Source organism: Homo sapiens, chromosome 6 (assembly GCF_000001405.40).
Source record: "Homo sapiens chromosome 6, GRCh38.p14 Primary Assembly".
Taxonomy (NCBI): Eukaryota; Metazoa; Chordata; class Mammalia; order Primates; family Hominidae; genus Homo; species Homo sapiens.
Window position 1 is genome coordinate 140,831,327 of NC_000006.12, and position 18,456 is coordinate 140,849,782.

Consider the following 18,456-nt stretch of genomic DNA (forward strand, 5'->3'; position numbering starts at 1 on the left):
ATCCAAATAGACTTGAACTGAATGGGTCAGAGGGCTGTGTTCTGCTACGTAATTTTCTACTTGCCTCTGCAGCAACTTGTGGAGATCCAAAATTAACCCAAGTTTCCACAAAACACTGTTGGAAAATCAGAGTCAGTTGCCAAACTTAAAAGCATTTTGCATTTCCTTGGCTTATGAACCAAGAAAAGGAGCTTTGCTTTCCACTCCTGTGCTTCAAACCACTCACCAACCCACCCAATCCATTCTAGGCTTCTACAACACTCTGTATTTATCTCTCACAGCTCTCGACATATTTCAGACTTTACTCTTTATATGCTTCTTTCCAGCTAGTTTGGCCTCTCCGTTAATTCACAGACTATAATTCTCAAGATTTTTATATCCTTATTTGCTAACATTATCTTGGGCAAATACTAAGTACTCAGGAAACATTTGCTAAATAATGACTTGAAGAACCAACAAATGATCAAATAAATAAATATATAATTTAAGAATAAATTAAATATACACTGATCAGTAGAATAAAAAGTATAAAATAATGTTTAATAATACCAATTTGCCATTAATAATCTATCTGCATACTATCTAACCTTCTTGCACATCTGTAGACTCAATAAAGAAGCTTCCCTCCTTATACCTAAACAAATCCCTTTACCTATTGCATTGTGGTATCTTTCTGTGTTCTCAGGAACTTTTTTGCTATAGATTGTTCTTCCCTTCTCTATTTTCAACCTTCCCTCCACTGATTATTTCCCTTCAGAAAGTAAAAATTCTCAAGTTTATCCAAAAAAAAAGAAATATCTTATTTTAACTCCATCACCACTTCATGTCTTACCATTCCCAGTCAAATATGTTAATAGTTCATGAAAAATACAGTCTACTCTGTTTCCACTAATGCTTTATGTATTCCTCAATCTGCTGCCCATTATCACTACAATGTGTCACTTTTGCCAAAATAAAATGAATAGTAACAAAAGTGATGATGATAATAACAACATGTTATGGTTTCCCATGTACCAGGCATTGTTCTAATTAGTTACATGTTTTAATTTAATACTCCATAAGAACTGACACTGAAATACACACAGCTTAACTAGATAACACAATTATTAGTGGTAGAGTCAGTATTTGTGTCCAATCAGTAGGCTTCAAAACCCACACTTTATAACTGCTAGACTCCAGAGACTGTCACCAAAAGTTATTGAACAATTCTGGGACTTCTTTCCCAGTCTAACATTATTGATTGAATATTTCTTCCTTCAAAAAATATTCTACTTCCTAACTTTTGGTGAGATGTTCTTCTGATTACTTTTTTCTTCCTTTGGTTATTCTCTTAATGTCTTTTCTCCCTGAACATTAAATATGGGTATTTCTCAAAATTATATCCTATGTTCTCTTTTCTTATTCCACCTACTTTTTCTTGGAGAGCTAATTCCTTCCAGTGGCCTCAATTACTGTCTCTGCATTAATATTAATAACTCAATAATCTTTATCTCCTATTCATTTCTATTTACAAAACTAAAGATATATATATATATATATATATATATATATATATATAAAATAACCTTTAAACATTTGTACTTTGATAATCCATGGTCCTCAAATTCTAAATGTCCAAAGCTGAGTAATAGACACCAAAATTTATATGATCATGTTTAAAATGTTTAAAAATACAGAAAACTAGCTGAAACATTTCGAGAAAGAATGAGAACGTATGGAAAAATAAATGAAAATTATAGCGATGTAAAGTGGAGAAAGAGCATCATGTTTGCTACTGGCTCTTAGAAGAGACTGAGGTCCTAACCATGGTAGTATCAGATGACCCTTCAGCCTGAGATACCTATCACTAACTGGTATTATCTGACCCACAGCCAAAAAGTTGTTCATGCACAGTAGGAATATATTATCAACTAAAAATATTTACATATAAGAGACTAGGCTCAGGCATGTCTGAAAGGTACAAGTAAATTGAGCAAGTAGATCACACTTTCTTGATACTGACTCCTGCTACACTAACTTCTCCTTTCACCATTGCCTAAGCCTTCATGTTCTTTACAATTAGTTGAATGAGAAATTAAAACTTGAGCCTAGTTAAAAGATGGATCTACATGATATGATCCCATCCAGAAGTAGATGGCTGAGAAATTACAACCCTCCCCAGGGGTGATTCTGAAGCAGAGTCATAAAGGAAAATCCTTCCAGTGTGCAGAATCTTGAACGGTACAATTTTATTTTACTTTCATTGGCCACTCTATTTGGCCAGGAAAAAAATGTGCTCTGATTCACAGGCAGTTGTTAAGAGTTTGGCTGAAAGGTCAGAGACTTGGAAAGAATAATATTGGAAAATTGGAAATCTAGGGAAGAGGATAGAGCTTTCAGAATGAGCCCAGATTTGAAGATATTTATATCTCATATGAATAAACACTAAGGAACATCCATTGTTGAGAAGGCTCTCAGTAATCAAGTGGACACAATGACACTGTGAATATCAGTAAACTTCTTTCTCAGGCAACCACAGTATTTGCTCAATGGGACTATAAACAAAGTGTCTATACTGTCAGGAGTAAGACTACTAATGAGTTTAAAAATATGTTTTTCCTCTTACCAAAGCTGACCTTGCTACTACTAATGCTAAGTACCTAAAATGTCTCTAGTAGTAACCAGTGCTGAGACCCAGTTATGACACCATACCCCAGGAGTACCATCAGGCACCTGATGGCAGGTTGATTACATTGAACTTCTTCTTCACAAAGGGAGCAGAGATTCTGCCTCTCTGGGGTATGCACTTATTCTGCATACAGACGCAGATTTGCTTTATCTCCCAGTAATGCTTCTGCCAGCTCTGCCATCCAGTTGACTTATGGACTACCTATCTACCATCATTATATACTGCATAAAATTGCTTCTTATCAAGAAATTTATTTTATAGAAAAAGAAGTGAAGCAATTGGCTTATGCTCATATAGTTTACTTGTATTTGCACATACCTGAGAAGTCACTGGCTTAATAGAAAGATAGAATTGGCTTCCTGAGGACTCAGTTACAGTGACAGTTGGAAGACAATGCTAAACTCAATCAGAAACCATTTTATGTTCCTGTCTCCTTTATTGCCGGAATACATGGGTCTGAGAATTAAGGAGAGGAAGTGGGAAAGACTCCTCACTAGCATACCTAATAGTCTATTTGTGAAAATTTTGGTTCTTGTATCAAGAACTTTGAGTTCTGCTAGTGTGGAATTCTTTTTTTTCCTAAAGGAAGACTGCTACTACTCAGATACACATTGTTTCCATTGAATTGACACATGAGAATGCCTCCTGGACATTTTGTGCTCCTTATGTCATCGACTTAACAAATACAGAAAGTGGTTATTCTTCTGATTTATTATATTCATAATTATATGAATATGATTATATATCATAGTCATAATGATAATGATTATGAAGCTGAAATAGATTTGCAGTTTTACAATGGAGGCGAAGAGGAATCCATGTGGAACTCCTGGGAGTCTCTAGGGATACCTCTTAGTACTTTCACATCCAAAAGTTAAGATTAATGATAGTATAAACAAACAAAAAAAGTAGGACTTTTGAAAATAGCCCTTTCAGAATAACAGTTTGGGTTACCCCACCTAACAAAATCTTGGCCAGCTGCAGTATTTTTCTGAGAGCAAGGGAATATGGCAAAGCTTGTAGAAGAAAAGTCATAAATATTAATAATAGTCATGACCAGTTATTAAAATGTGAACTATAGTTAATTTTACTGTTTCTCCTTGTTACATGTATATGTATTAGATTATATTAATTATATTCTCTTCTTTCCCATTTTTCTTTTTATTTTATATACAACATATTGGTGGATAATTTTATAATGTAGTCTTTAGATAACAATATTCAGTGGGATTGTGACTGAATTTGATTAGTGAATAATATAGCAAATGATGGGCTATTAGGACCATGGGCCTCATCATTTTTGTGAGAGAAAAAGGACTTTGCACTTACAAAAAGGATAACAACTTTTTATTCGATGGAATTATAGAGTTGTTTGCCTGCTGTATGGAAACTCACACTACATGAAGGATGTGTCTGGAAGATGAAGAGGTGAAGGGGTAGATTATGCCCATTCTGAAAAATGCCTCTCATCTCATCATTCACTCTTCTTTACCTTTCTTTGTGATACTAGAACTGAACCTAACAGACATTCTTCCTTTGCTAGCTGGTTTAAGACATTCCTGGAAGGACACTGTGAAAGGAGACAAGTAGAAAAGAGCTTTCTTCTTCTATCTGCTGTGCTGCTTTTCAACGTGACAGCCAATCCAGAAGCATGTGGCAAGCCTGGTGGCACTCACACCAGTGGTTCATATGGACAAGCTGCGGTCAACATTCAGGATGTTTTCTCATCACCTAGCAGGCTACTCCTGTACAACACCTATGACCATGGTCTCTGGAAAGATCTTCACTATCACGTGCACTTACTTCAGCATGTTTCTTTACCACTAGCAGTCTGCATGTTCTTGCCCTTGCCAGAAATACCTGAATCTCTATTAGCAGGGGACCTCGTCTAAGTTCTTAGTTCCTTCCTGATTCACACTCTCTTAGCTCTAGAAGTGGTAGTTGTTTCCTGCATTTGTGACTTTAAAACCATTCAGTATTCTTTTTTACCCCTTTCCATAGTTAACAAATATGTATACTGAATTTTTCCTTCTTTAAATACTAATATATTTTCTATTCCCTAACTGCATCCTGACTAATACAAATACTAAAGGATTTTCTCAGGCAGAAATAAAAAGATTCCATAATGGAACACAGGAATCAAGAAATAAATGAGAAGCAAAGGTAAAAGTAAATATAAATATGAAAACTTATTGACTGCATCATCATGTCTTCTGAAGTTTATAATATGTAATGAAATAAAATGCATGGCAACAATATCACAAAGGGTAGGAGAATTAATTCAGTCAAATGATTCTTACATTCTTGCATTTTCCAGGAAAAAGTTAAAGTACTAATTGCATTAGATTTTAATGTCAAGATGAATAATGTAATAGTGAAGATAATCCCTGAAACTATAGTATATCTAAGTATAATTAAAACACTAATGGAGAAGAAATACTGAATAATAATGGTACTAATAATAACAATACTGGTCATTACAGAAATAGCTGATAAAGTAGCGGAAAACAGGCAAATATATGAAACAAAAATCAAACATTGACAGGATGTTAAATATAAGCTAGATACAATAATTATTATATTAATGGTAAATGAATTTTGAAACTCCAAATAAAATACACATATCATCATATTGGTTTAAAGTAAAATCAAACCCAATTTCATACTAATTACTGCACAAACTAAGATACAGAATTTTACAGAAATTAAAGAAAGTAAAAAAAAAGAACAAACAAATATTATCCAAAATAAAGCTGACAGTTTCAATTTTTTTAAAAGGGATATTTCAAAAGGATAAAAAATTTTAATTCTCAATTTTCATGGACTTATTAACATTCTCCTAGGATATATAAAGCCAAACTTGATAGAATTTTTAACTAGGAGAACTAGATAAATCAATTACCATAATGGGAGAATTTAAAATGCCACTGTCGCTATCTGATAGAAAAAAAAAGATCTATAAAAATGGTGCTTCCTATAGATATTTTATAGAAACCCTTTATCAACTTAAAGACATTCTTCATGCCTTAGTTATCCAAGCACTTTAAAAAATCATTATACATAGTGACTTCCGCTGAATAAATTTTCTGTATATTGTGATGATAATATTATTTCCTACTTTAATGATTTTATGTAATAAATTAATGTTTTTTCACTGATGTTAAACCAACCTGGAATTCCTTTTATGAACTCAATTTGATCGAAATGCATTGTTTTTAATGCATTGATGAATTAGCTTGTTAATTTGTTTATGGTATTGCATCTATACTCATAAAAGTGATTGATCAATATTTTTCCTTTACTGTCTTTGTCTAATATTACCATTCTGTTTGTCCAATAAAATGAATTGAAAGGTGTCCCTTCTCTTCTCTTTCCTGGGAGAATTTGTGTAAAATTATAATTTTTATTTCCTTCCAGGTTTGAAAGAAGTTCTCTAAGAAACTTTCTGGGACTGACACTTATATCTAGAAATATTTTCAATAACCAATCGCACTGTTTAAATGATTATAGAACTATTCAGTTTTGTATTTCTTTTTGATTAGATTTTGGTAAATTTGTTCTATTATGATTAATATGTTATAGTTTTATATTATGATTAATGTAGTTTTCTATTATGTTATTTGCTCTTATCTTAATCACATTCTACTTTGAGTTATTCTAAATTCTTTTTCTTTCTTTTTTTTTTTTTTTGAGATGGCATCTAGCTCTGTTGCCCAGGCTGGAGTGCAGTGGCACAATCTCAGCTCACTGCAACCTCCACCTCCAGGGTTCAAGTGATTCTCCTGCCTCAGTCTCCCGAGTAGCTGGGATTACAGGCGCCTACCACCACGCCCAGCTAATTTTTGTATTTTTAGTAGAGATGGACTTTCACTGTGTTGGCCAGGCTGGTTGCGAACTCCTGACCTCATGATCCACCCACCTCGGCCTCCCAATGTGCTGGGATTACAAGAGTGAGCCACCTTGCCTGGCCTCTAAACTCTTCATGTTGTTGCTTAGCTCACTAATTCTGAGCTTTTCTGCATTCTATACATTTTTACCTAGTATTTTTATTTGATTCAATTCTCAATATTTTCTAAATTTTATTATGATTTCTTCTTTAGTTAATGAGTTTATTTGTAATACAGTATAATATTCCTAAGGTGCTCAACTGGATGGACACAAATTTAAATGTATCTACATACCACTATTTTAATCCATGTAACTACCACTCAGACCAATAGATAAATGATTTACAGTGTCCCGTAAGTTTCCTTAAAGCCTCTTTCCAGTTGATCTCATGCCTCAATCTCTCCCCACACCAGTATACACTCTTTGGTATCTAACTTTTTTCATTTATTATCTCACTGGTGAGATTCATCCATGTTGTTTCACGTACCAGTAGTTCAATCTTGTAGCTGTACAGTATCACATTGTATGAATGTAGCACAATTTATTGATCAATGTTATTGTTGATGAATATTAGATTATTTCCAGCTCTTTGGCTCTGAGGTATTTATCTTCTATGAACATCATTGTTTACGTATTTGGTAAATATGCACTCTTTTCTCTTGGAAATGAAATGGAACTGTGGAATTCCACCTGAACTGGGAATTGAATTATAGATCTTTTGGAATATAGAATGGGAGTAAATATATATTGTGATCAGATAATTTATTCTATATGTCATAAAAATTCCTTGTCATTTGTTGCTGCTAGCTTTATGAACCATTACATTATCAGTTTTCAGAATGTTTTTTGAATAGTCTTCAATCGTGTGTATTTCCTACTCAGTGAGTGACATTAGTTCTGTCCTGTTAATTATGCTGGTAATGTCTGTTGTATTCGTTCTGATTATTTTTGTCAATTTCATCCATTTCTATAATGTGTTTTTAAAAGCATCCACTCAATTTTTAGATTTGGCCACACTTTCTTAAAATTTTGGCAAATTTTTCATTAAATTAAGTTATATGAACAGCTGTATTCAATTTTAGAACTGTTCAACTTAGATATGCATTAAATCTTCATGTAGTGATCCTTTTTAACTTTATCATAATTTTGTTTGTGTGGTTTTTAATCTGATATTAATTTAACTACAACAGCATCATCTACTTAGTTTATGCTTTACACATACATTTCTAACTTTTGAAATTTAATTTTCCGTTCCTTTACATTTTAGGCTTGACTCTTGAAAACAGTATATCCATATATTTCATACTTACAACAGTCTGAACTTCATTTTTGAAAGAAGGTTATTTCATTTATTTTGCTTTCATTTAATGTGATATGCTTACATTTACATATATTACAGCACTCATTCTCAATCACTTTTTACCTTGGAGAAAACCTTGAAAATATTTACATGTCTCAGGGAACCTCTGCAAAAAAAAATTGTTATATCTACATTGCATAATATATTAGCATGAATAATAAATTTTAGATATATTAGTCCAATAATAGTTGCCTCTTATTTTTTGAATAGAGAATAATCTATTTTCTGCAGATCTGCTTATGTTGGACAACTTATATCATTTTTTGTATATTTTTCTCTACCATCTACTAAGGTAATAGTATATATATATAAAACAACTCAAATTTTTCTTCCTTTAAAAAAAATTTCACCTCCTACTTATTTTTTCAACTCAATTCAAGTTTTTCTGAAAGACTTAACATAGAGTTTTACTATACAGAGTTCTAATAAGGATATTACCATAAAGTATGTGAAAAAGTTTTCTTTTTTCTTTTCCCCTTCTTAAAACCAGAATTGACCTGTCAGCCAAACTTTCTTGAGTAAAATCTGGTATTAAGCTTAATTTACCTTTCTGCCCATTAATTTCTTTCCTTCCTTTTCAAGATGTATAACTCATAAAGAAAATATATAAATGGTGATTCTAATTGGATATTATTTGATGTTATTACAACATGAAATGGGTTGATATGGTTGAATGATAAAACTACTAAAACTGTAAACCAAAGACATATGATTAAAATTATGGCCTAAAATATAATTTAACATATCTTTGGAAAAAATATTTTCTGAGTGGTATGTTTAGATTCAATATATCAGTTATCAAACTGTTATGCACATGTGTTGGTTACATAAACTTTTTCATAACTCTATATATGCCTAAAAGTTATTTTGGAATCAAATATAAATAATTAAATTTATATGAAAACTGTGCCTATGTTTCTTTGCTAAATAGTCGCTCAATGCTGGTTCAAACTTGCAATAAACACACATTAGTTTCATTTTAAACTGAATGAGACAATTTCTGTAGTTGCTCCCAATGCCTTTTTAAACAAGTAGAAGGTTGCATACACATGTTAGAAGTTAAAAACTGCATCAAAGTATTCAGTGCCTTCTGACTGGAGGGAGATTCTTTTTCTTCTATAGAAATGTAGAAGGTGTCTAGAGACAGAATAGTAACTCTAATCTTGATTGTGTGGTCACACTGCAGCTCATTAAGTTATTCCTCTTTTTTTTTTTTTTTTTTGAGATAGGATTTCACTTTGTCATCCAGGCTGGAGTACAGGAGTGCAGTGAAACGGTCTTGGCTCACTATAGCCTCAACTTCTCAGGCTCAAGTGATCCTCTCACCTCAGCCTCCAGAGTAGCTAGGACTACAGGCGCACACCATCATACCTGGCTAATTTTTGTATTTTGTATAGAGACAGGGTTTCGCCATGTTGCCCAGGCTGGTCTCCAACTCCTGAGCTCAAGCAATCTGCCTGTCTTGGCCTCCCAAATTGCTGGGATTACAGGCATGAACTATGGCTCCCGGCCTCTTCCTCTTCTTTCAAAGCTAAGGTCTCAGGCTGAAAAGAAATTACAGAGAAAGTGTTTATTATTCTGTTATATACTTTGAGTTGAGAGGGAAGAAAAATACTGTTCAGTATTACTCTGGAGTTCTCTAGATGATTTTCAAAAAAGTTTGGGCTTTGCTCGTGTCGTTTCTCAGTCTAAGCCCAAGTAGTGGTAAAAATATTTCAAGATTCTCTTTTGTAACATGATTTTTTAAATGCAACTGATATTTCTAAATATGTGATTTTTCTTATTTAACTACAGAAATCTTGCATTTAAAGTAAAAATATATATATATCCAGATCCTTGCAAAGACTTGTTAAACTGGATCATGTGATGAAAATGTCTGCCAATTAAGTTGGTTTCTGCAGCGATTTTTCATCTTTAAAGTGCTCAGCAAAATTCGGCCTACATTTTTTTTTGACAGTGCTTCTCTAATTCTTGTTCGGCTGAAACATCCTATCGGGAACTTTCTCCCTCCATTAAGCCACTGAATTCCTTTTTGCAGCAGGAGGTGTGTGTGTGTGTCTGTGTGTGTGTGTGTGATGTTTGCCCAGGTTTTTATACATTTTTTAAAAGATTCTTAAGCAAGCTGGTTTGGGTTTAATAAAATTGACCATTTTTTGTGGTATTTCTGAACTTTTATTCTTTCCTTTCCATGACTTTCTTTACACTAGCACCAGTTTGTGAACAAAGTATTGTTTGATGACAGTATTTGGACTTTGGCTTAATACAAGAGGTAAAATCTTCAAGGAGCCAACTATTGATGGAGTACCTAGTGCAAATGCTAATACAACCCATCGAAGATAGAACTTCTGTTTCAGATATAAAGATAATACATTAAATATATCTAGTCCTTTGCTTGTTTCAGACCACTCTTTGCACAGGGAATGTTACTGTGAATTTTATTATCATTTACAAATATTACAAATACTACAGAATGCCATTTATTGGTGAAATCTATTCATCAACTTGGATATTAGGGTTCTGGTTTTTCAGTTTATTACACAAAACCTCTTCAATATATTGTAACATATCATCAATGCCTTGATGATACTCCTTAAAAGTAGAATCTTTTCAAATTTTTCTTCAGCATCTTTTCTCAGCAATTATCTCAGTGTATTTTTACATGCTGGCATTATTAGGTTTTGACCATTTGTGTGACTTTTCTGGACAATATTTTCTGCTGATACATAACTTATATCCTTTTCACAGGATGTACTTTTCAACAAACATTATATTGTAGATTCTAATAGTTGTATAGAACAATCAGTACCATCATTTATCCAATGACTGTGATTTGAAATTAGTGTCTTTAATTTTCCTGGAAATAATGTTGCATTTTGAGTTTGTCAGAGAAGACAGAAAGACATATGCCAGGTTGGACTATCAGCTCAAGTAAAATTCACTGAGAGATTTTGTTGGAAAAGGAGATTTTATGTGTCCCTTTCCACACCACTACATGGCTCGGCAGAATGTAAGCCTTCATCACTAACCTTATCAGAATTATCCATCGGTACCAGCCTAACATACTCCTCTTCCATTTCATACCTTATCTTAACAAATCATCACATTGAATCATCAGACACATTCATAAATCCAAGGGCTAATAAGATACAAAATAGAAGGGTATAATATAAAATGAAATGAGAAATACTGAAAAAAATCACAATATAATTTACCTGTAGCCTATAATCCAAGTTTTGTAATGTTTTTCAGGAGAGAACTTGCATTTGATTACCTGAGACCACCTGAACTTAATTTCTCACCTTAAAACTTTTCTTAACACATAAGCAGTGTTCCAGTTAACTCTGTTACATGTGGCAGATTGTACTTTTTAAAGATAGTCACATATTCAGAATGCAATCTTCTGTAATAACTAGCTAATGCTTATCTATCATCACATCATTTTGTTCCTTGTACCCAATGCCAAAAATGAGAAAGCCAAATTTCTTTGCTGTCACTTCTGAGGAGTAGGGGCTTAATATATATTTAATCACTGTTTTTGAGGACTAATCTTATGAAGAAGTCTCTTATTTGATGCTTCCCCACAGTGTGTCATATGCTATATTGTATGCAGTCTGCAAAGAGGAAGAGTTGAACTTCCATTTTTCCACAGAAATTGTTGGGGCTTGCATTAGGTTGTTCTTGCATTGCTATAAAGAAATATCTGAGACTGTGTATTACATAAAGAAAAGAGGTTTAATTGGCTCACGGTTCTGCAGGCTTTACAGGAAACATGGTGCTGGGATCTTCTTGGCTTCTGGGGAGGCCAAAGGAAGCCTACAATCATAGTGGAAGGTGAAGGAGGAGCCAGCAAGTTCACAAGGCCAGACAGGAGCAAGAGAGAGACAGAATGGGGGGAGATGCCACACATATTTAAATGACCAGATCTCATGTGAACTCAAAATGAGAGCTCCCTTATAACCAAGGGGATGTTCAGAGCCATTCATGAGGGATCGGCTCCCATAATCCAAACACCTCCTACCAGGTCCCACCTCCAATGTTGGGGATTACACTTCGGTATGAGAATTGGGCAGGGACAAATATCCAAACCATATCAAAGCTAAAAAGGTTCTTTTCATCTTTTTTTAATTAAAATATTTTTTTTGGCATTGGTGAATTTCTTATCATCCCAGTGATGCTTTAAAAACTTGTATATGTTTGTGTCTTTGTCCATCTGTGCTGCTACAACAAAATACCATAGCCTGGTTACTTTATAAATAATCGAAATGTATTTCTCACAGTTCATGAGGCTGGGAAGTCCAAGATCAATGCACTGGCAAGTTTCGTGTGTGGTGCAGGCCGTTCTCGCTTTCAATAATGACACTTTGTTGCTGTACCCTCCTAAGTGGACAAATACTTGTCCTCACATGGCTGAATGGTCAGAAGGGCAAAAGAGACTTCCTTCAGCCTCTTTTATGAGGTCTCTAATTTCATTCATGAGGACTCTGCCCTTCTGACTTAATCACCTCCTAAAGGCACTACCTTTAATACTATCACAATGCAATGAAGTTACAACATACGAAGTTTGGAGGACACATTTAGAACACAGCAGTTTGTTTTGGTTTCAGCATATCTGTTATTTCAATCCATAGGAATTTCCATCATATTTTTAGGAATCAAAAATTCAAAAAGATCTTTCTATAAAGCAAATATTTTAGTGTCATTTCCACTTGAGTTCCATAGCTTGAAACTATTCTTGATGATATTACTCTTAAAGTCTAAACTCCTTTACATGCATTACCAGATCAGCTGTGATTTGGCCTCTGCTTGCCTCTCGTCTATTTTCTCCTTCCCCTTCAACGTACTCATACTATTCCTGCTTTCTAGGCTTCTTAAAACATGGGTTCCATTCCTTTGTTCTTCTTTTGTTTTTATTTTTTAGTGTACTCCTACCTAACCTCCATCTGTTTCTGCGGCACATTTTTTTTTTTTTTTTAGCAGAAACCCTTATCTAGAAGCTCTGCTTCCTCATTCCTCAACCCCTTCTGTCTACTTGCGGTCCTAAAACTTCACCTCTTAGAGGATACAGCCAAACTGCATCATGTCTGCCTTGTTAGTTAACTGTCTCCAAAGTAGGAAATATACCCCTGGAGAGTGAGTTCATTGCATATTTGTATAGCATTTTTCCCTAGATCCCAGCAACAGGCCATAAATATAGAAGGAGTTGAGTGTATGTGCAACAAATAAATGAAAGCATCATAATATTATACTACTTATGATGGCCCAAAGAATGAGAGGGTGCACGTATGTGGTAATGTAAATGTGCATGTGTTTGAGATGCTTAAAATTATTGTTCTTGTAAAAATGATTTAAAGGAAGATTTCCTGTTATAATTATTGACACTGAAACCTTTTTAGCCATCTTTTCTGGCATGTAATTTAAGCAATTTGTTCTGTTTCTTGATTTAAAGTTATAATTATCATTATTTGAATTACTTGCTTTGTATCAGTTTTTACAGTATTCCTATTGTCATAAATTGAGACAATATAAATAAGTATTTATGTATCTTATTCCATGTTTTATGCCCATTGTTATTAATCTTTGGGGCCAACAACTGTAGTGTGTTCATGCCCATATTATACCACTCTAACTGCTACATTGAACGAACATAACTCATTAGGACGCAACTATTCAAAAAAACTATTCTTTTTCACTGTGGCCTGGAAATCCACCATGATATGTTCTTCCTCTTTTCTCTGGGAGAAATCTTAGATAGTCTTCATAACATTATTATTATGCCATTATTCTGGCACAATAAGTCTAACAGTCACTCTTATCTGAGGAAAATTCCCATCTTGTTAATTAAATTGCATTTTGTAGTTGAGCCTTCATTTTCACCTCCCCAAGCAAAGGCCTTCCTCAAGCTACAACAATAGTGAGAAGAAGGAATGTTGTCAGTTTCCTCTCTCTTTCCCCAATACTGTGCTAATGCTATTGCTACACTTCTTCGCTCTCAGTCCCCAATTCCCATCCCACTAGGTTGCCTGGAGCTCCCCATATGAAACAGGGGTAGGGAAGAGATGAGTAAGAAATAGTATATCAAATGCACTTTGAGTATCAAGAACATTAAATATCTCTATTAGTAAATGTGATGATAAAGAGTAAGAAAGATATAGAAAGGTGGGAAAGAAATTTCCTTGTGGAAATTTATATTTATGTATGTCATATTTTTGCCTAGTTTTGGCAGGTAGGAGTTTTCATTAAAGTCACCTCAAGTCTCTTCTTCTCTTACTTTTGCTTCCCTCTGACAACTGGCTTTATTATCAGTAAAAGATTTTCACTCAGCAGCTCCCATATCTCACAGCAGAAGTATTTGCCATCAAAGATAGGATCAGACATGCTACACTTGGTCCCATGTCCCAAAATCACAGTAGTCTTATACACATTGGAAAGGGTATAAATCTTAGAACCAATAAGTTGTGAGGAGGAAAATATAATTTTAAAAAATGTAACTTCCATTGAACCACATATTTGGAGAGAAGAAAAGTGTTACTGCACAAAAGAGCTATGTGAGGTGTGTTAGGAATTTTAAGTGCAGAAGTCATTAACCAATGTATGGTGATGGAAGTAAAAAGGAAATGCATTCTTTTAGGAAACAGTACCACATTTGGGGGTAGAGGTTTGTTGATTTTGTTTGGTTTTGATTAAACTTGTAGAAAAAAAAACAATTCACACTGGCTTTCAGAAGACTAAATCTTTATGAAACATGATTATGTTGAAATACATAACAGATCTCAGTCATTGAAATCATTATTTTGATTTAAAAAAAAAGTATTTGGAGGCTGGGTGTGGCAGCTCATGCCTGTAATCCGAGCACTTTGGGAGGCCAAAGCAGGTGGATCTCTTGAGGTCAGGAGTTCGAGCCAGCCTGACCAACATTAGCCAGGCATGGTGGCGGGTGCCTGTAATCCCAGCTACTCGGGACGCTGATGCTGATCTAGGAGAACTGCTTGAACCCAGGAGGCGGAGGTTGCACTGAGCCGAGATCATGCCACTGGATTCCAGCCTGAGCAACACAATGAGACTCTGTCTCAAAAACAAACAAACAAACAAACAAACAAAAACTATTGGAATGATTTTGATTAAACTTACAAACACTTACCTAAATACCTAGACAATAAGAATCTTGCATATATAATAGCACAACTTCTAGCCTTTGAGCAGTCTTCAGCATGGGTGGAGTCAATGGCTCAGCATTGTCATTAACAGCAGGTCCCCTTCTCTCCTGCTCCAGCCTTGACATTGGCTTTTCTTAAAAGATGGTGGCAATTTGGCTACAGCCATTTCAGCTAGTCCATAAAATGCAAAACTGATTCAGAGGATGTGAAGAGCTTAATTTTGCTATGGTTCTTATTTAGATATGAAGAGATGATTTTAGAGAAACCCTCTCACTTCCGTTAATGCGTTTGGCCAGAATTTGTTTATGTGTCTGTTTCTGATCATGCAGTAGCAAATGGTTTACAATTATTATGCTGTCCACATTCTTCTTGTCTGAGGTTACATGGACATTGATGAGTCAAATAAAATATATGATATTAAAATCAGAAATCTTTGAACTTCTTTAGGCTAGGAATTTATTTTTTGAGTTCTTGTTTGAAAGAGAAAAAGTTATTAATTGATAAAACACACATTAGAATAAAAATATAAATATCAACCCTGACTACCATTGTTTCTATTGACTTCATTATTGGATTTTACTTCTATTATGAAATAAAAAGAGAATTGGCTTTAATGCTGGTGTAAAAATAATAAGTTGTCATTTCCCAGTTTTAGAATCTTAACTGTGCTTTGTGGTGTTGAGTCATTCCTAATGACCTTTCATATTACAAATGCAGCAAATATTCCAATAAATAAACTGGGCATCTGCACTTTGACTCATAAAATCATAAAAGCCAAAGTAAATTCTGAGATTAAAATGTAAGTTATCTAAAATTCTGATAGAAATTTAACCTACGAGTCATTTAACAATAGCCAAAACCATTTAATGCCTCCTTTTTACTATTAAATATATTTCATTTTATAGTTCACAAAAAAGTTTACGTTTAAATAAAATAAAAATATCAATTTTTAATTTAATTGATTTAATCGACTTGCTATCTAAACTGCTTTGCTTCTTTTAGGAAGTTTGTAAGAAAAAAAGGAAGTTGGCATTAGTAGATTCATCATCAAACACAGTATATGAAAGCTTGGTTATTGTCTAAAGCTGAATGATTAACAGACATGAGTTTTTCCTGTACTCTAGCAATAAAAATAAATGGTAGAAATAGTGTTTCATGATTTTGACAGTTGCTTCTGTTAATTAACAATTCATAATTTCACATGAGTAAATATTTTGGCTATTTAAGTTGTGCTGTTCACCTCTGTATCCATCTCTTGAAAATCTTTCCTAATGCTTTAAATGAATACATCTGAATAAAATAAATAAGCCAGAAAAAAAATTCCAAGGATCAAACTGTAAAATACATTTGTATATTAATAGTTAATAAGAAAAAAGCATTCCAAAAGCATGTAATTTGTATAGAACACTGTAGTATAGTGTGCTTTATACCATTTTATGTAATCTAATGGAGATAAACAGCCATAGGTCCAAAGGTGTTAACATGGCCAGAAGATGGGGAGCGGCCTGCATCTAAAACACAGGACAGTGAAAAGTTTTCTTATGCTTGAGTCAATTCATGAAATCTACTTTCCCACCATTCTATTTCCTTAACATTTTCAGTTTCTAAATTTCCAGTTTAGTGAAAGGCATGTTTTAACAGAGTATATTAACTTTGTTCCATGTACCTCAGTGATGAGAATTAGAACATGTTCCTCTTTATCAAATAGTAGAAACATATTTGGATGCTGCTGAAGTCAAATATTTAGTGAACTTAAAATCTGTCATGATTTACAACTACACTATAGAAAAACAGGATTTCAACAAGCCATTACAAATTGTCCTAGAAGGGTTTGGAAGTCAGACATTAACTCAATCTTAAAATGAGTTGGGAAGTGCAAGATTAGGTCAATGTAAAAAAATACTATAGCACTAGTTGGAGTTGTTATATTGGCAAGTTGGCAGAGAATTGAGAAATATAAATTATATACAACTGATTTTTATTATTAGTGGCTGATACATTCTATAAATTTGCTGCAAACACAGAATCAGTCAATATTGAACCATTGTTCCTATGGGAAATACAGGTTATGGTCCCTCAAGCCTCTGGTTACAATATTTTTATCAACTGATTAATGCAATACATGACCTTATTTTTTTGTATGTCTCTGTCTAAAGACAACTTATTTAATATATATTGTTGATTTATAAACATTGACCTTATGTCTACAGCCCTGTAGCTCATTCTAGAAAGAAGTTAAGCTAACACATGTATTTTCTCCATAAGGCACATTCTTTTGTCTTCCTGTGTTTAGAAAAAAGGGCCACAGTTTAGCAATATCCTTGGGGGACATTTTAAGCAGTGAAATCACCAAGAAGAAGCAAAAAAAAAAATGCCTAAAGTATGGCACTAAATAGATCACAAAAGGACACTTGTTTATTGTTTGTGAGCTGAAAAAAGAAGGCAAGACATCACTTTGAACTCAGCTGGAAATGTGCTTGTTGGACAATTCACATTTTTTACTACACCGGACTTATCTGTTTATATCCACAAAATTGATTTTTGTATTACAAAAAGTTTTACCAAGTAGACAACTTCACAAGTAGGGAATTTGTAAGTAATGAGGATTAACCTGTACATACAAGAGAGGCAGAAAAAAAAAAGATCATAATTTTTAACCTCCAAATTTTTAAATTCAAACTCATTACTACTAACAAAGATTTACAAATAGATTATTTACGGTTCAGCAACAATGCAGAAAAACAAAAATCACTCTACGTATTGCTCTACTTGCATAGACTTAAACCCCTATGTAGAGCTTAGCCAAGGTGATTTGAAAACTCAGGTTTTTAAACTTTAGCATGCATCAGATTTCATCCGAAGGCCTTATTAAAACACAGACTGTGACGCCCTCTTCGCAGGTCTAGCCTAGGGCTTGAAAATTTGTACTAGCCGGGTGACAGTGATACTCAGGAACTATATTTTGAGAACCACTGGATTAGATCAAGTATAGATCAGGAAGACCTTGTAAATCTACAGGACTTTGGCTCAAAAGAGACTGCATGGGCCTCTTTGGCCCTGTTCCTTTAGTTTCACACCTCTCATGAGATTGTGTTGCTCTCATGTCAAATATAGGAAAGTTAAGTAAAAATAAAGGAAAGGTCTGCAAAATAAAGAGCTATTCTATCTCAGTCTTGGAGCAGAATCCACCATCCCTACGTTTCCCCAGTGCATGGGGCTTGTGTCACTTGGATGGTAGCCCAATTTTACTATATTAGACTCATGGTGGTGCTGAGAAATGTCCAAAAAGGAAATGAAATTTCAAAGTTACTAAATAGTGGGAATTCAAAGCTGAAGAAAAGCCAAAATTAATATGCCATATGAACTCAAGAGGCTTTAATCTCTCT

At 34.0% G+C, this 18,456-nt stretch overlaps 1 long non-coding RNA gene across 1 annotated transcript in view; it reads right to left on the bottom strand.

Moving 5' to 3' along the window:
- The window catches only part of LOC102723724 (uncharacterized), a 104,643-nt gene that overhangs the window by 37,545 nt on the left and 48,642 nt on the right, over nucleotides 1–18,456 (bottom strand). Inside the window, exon 3 of the long non-coding RNA XR_428030.5 lies at nucleotides 1–14,978. This exon is cut by the window's left edge and continues 15,195 nt beyond it. This is a non-coding gene — a long non-coding RNA (uncharacterized LOC102723724). The remainder of the gene's footprint in view (nucleotides 14,979–18,456) is intronic.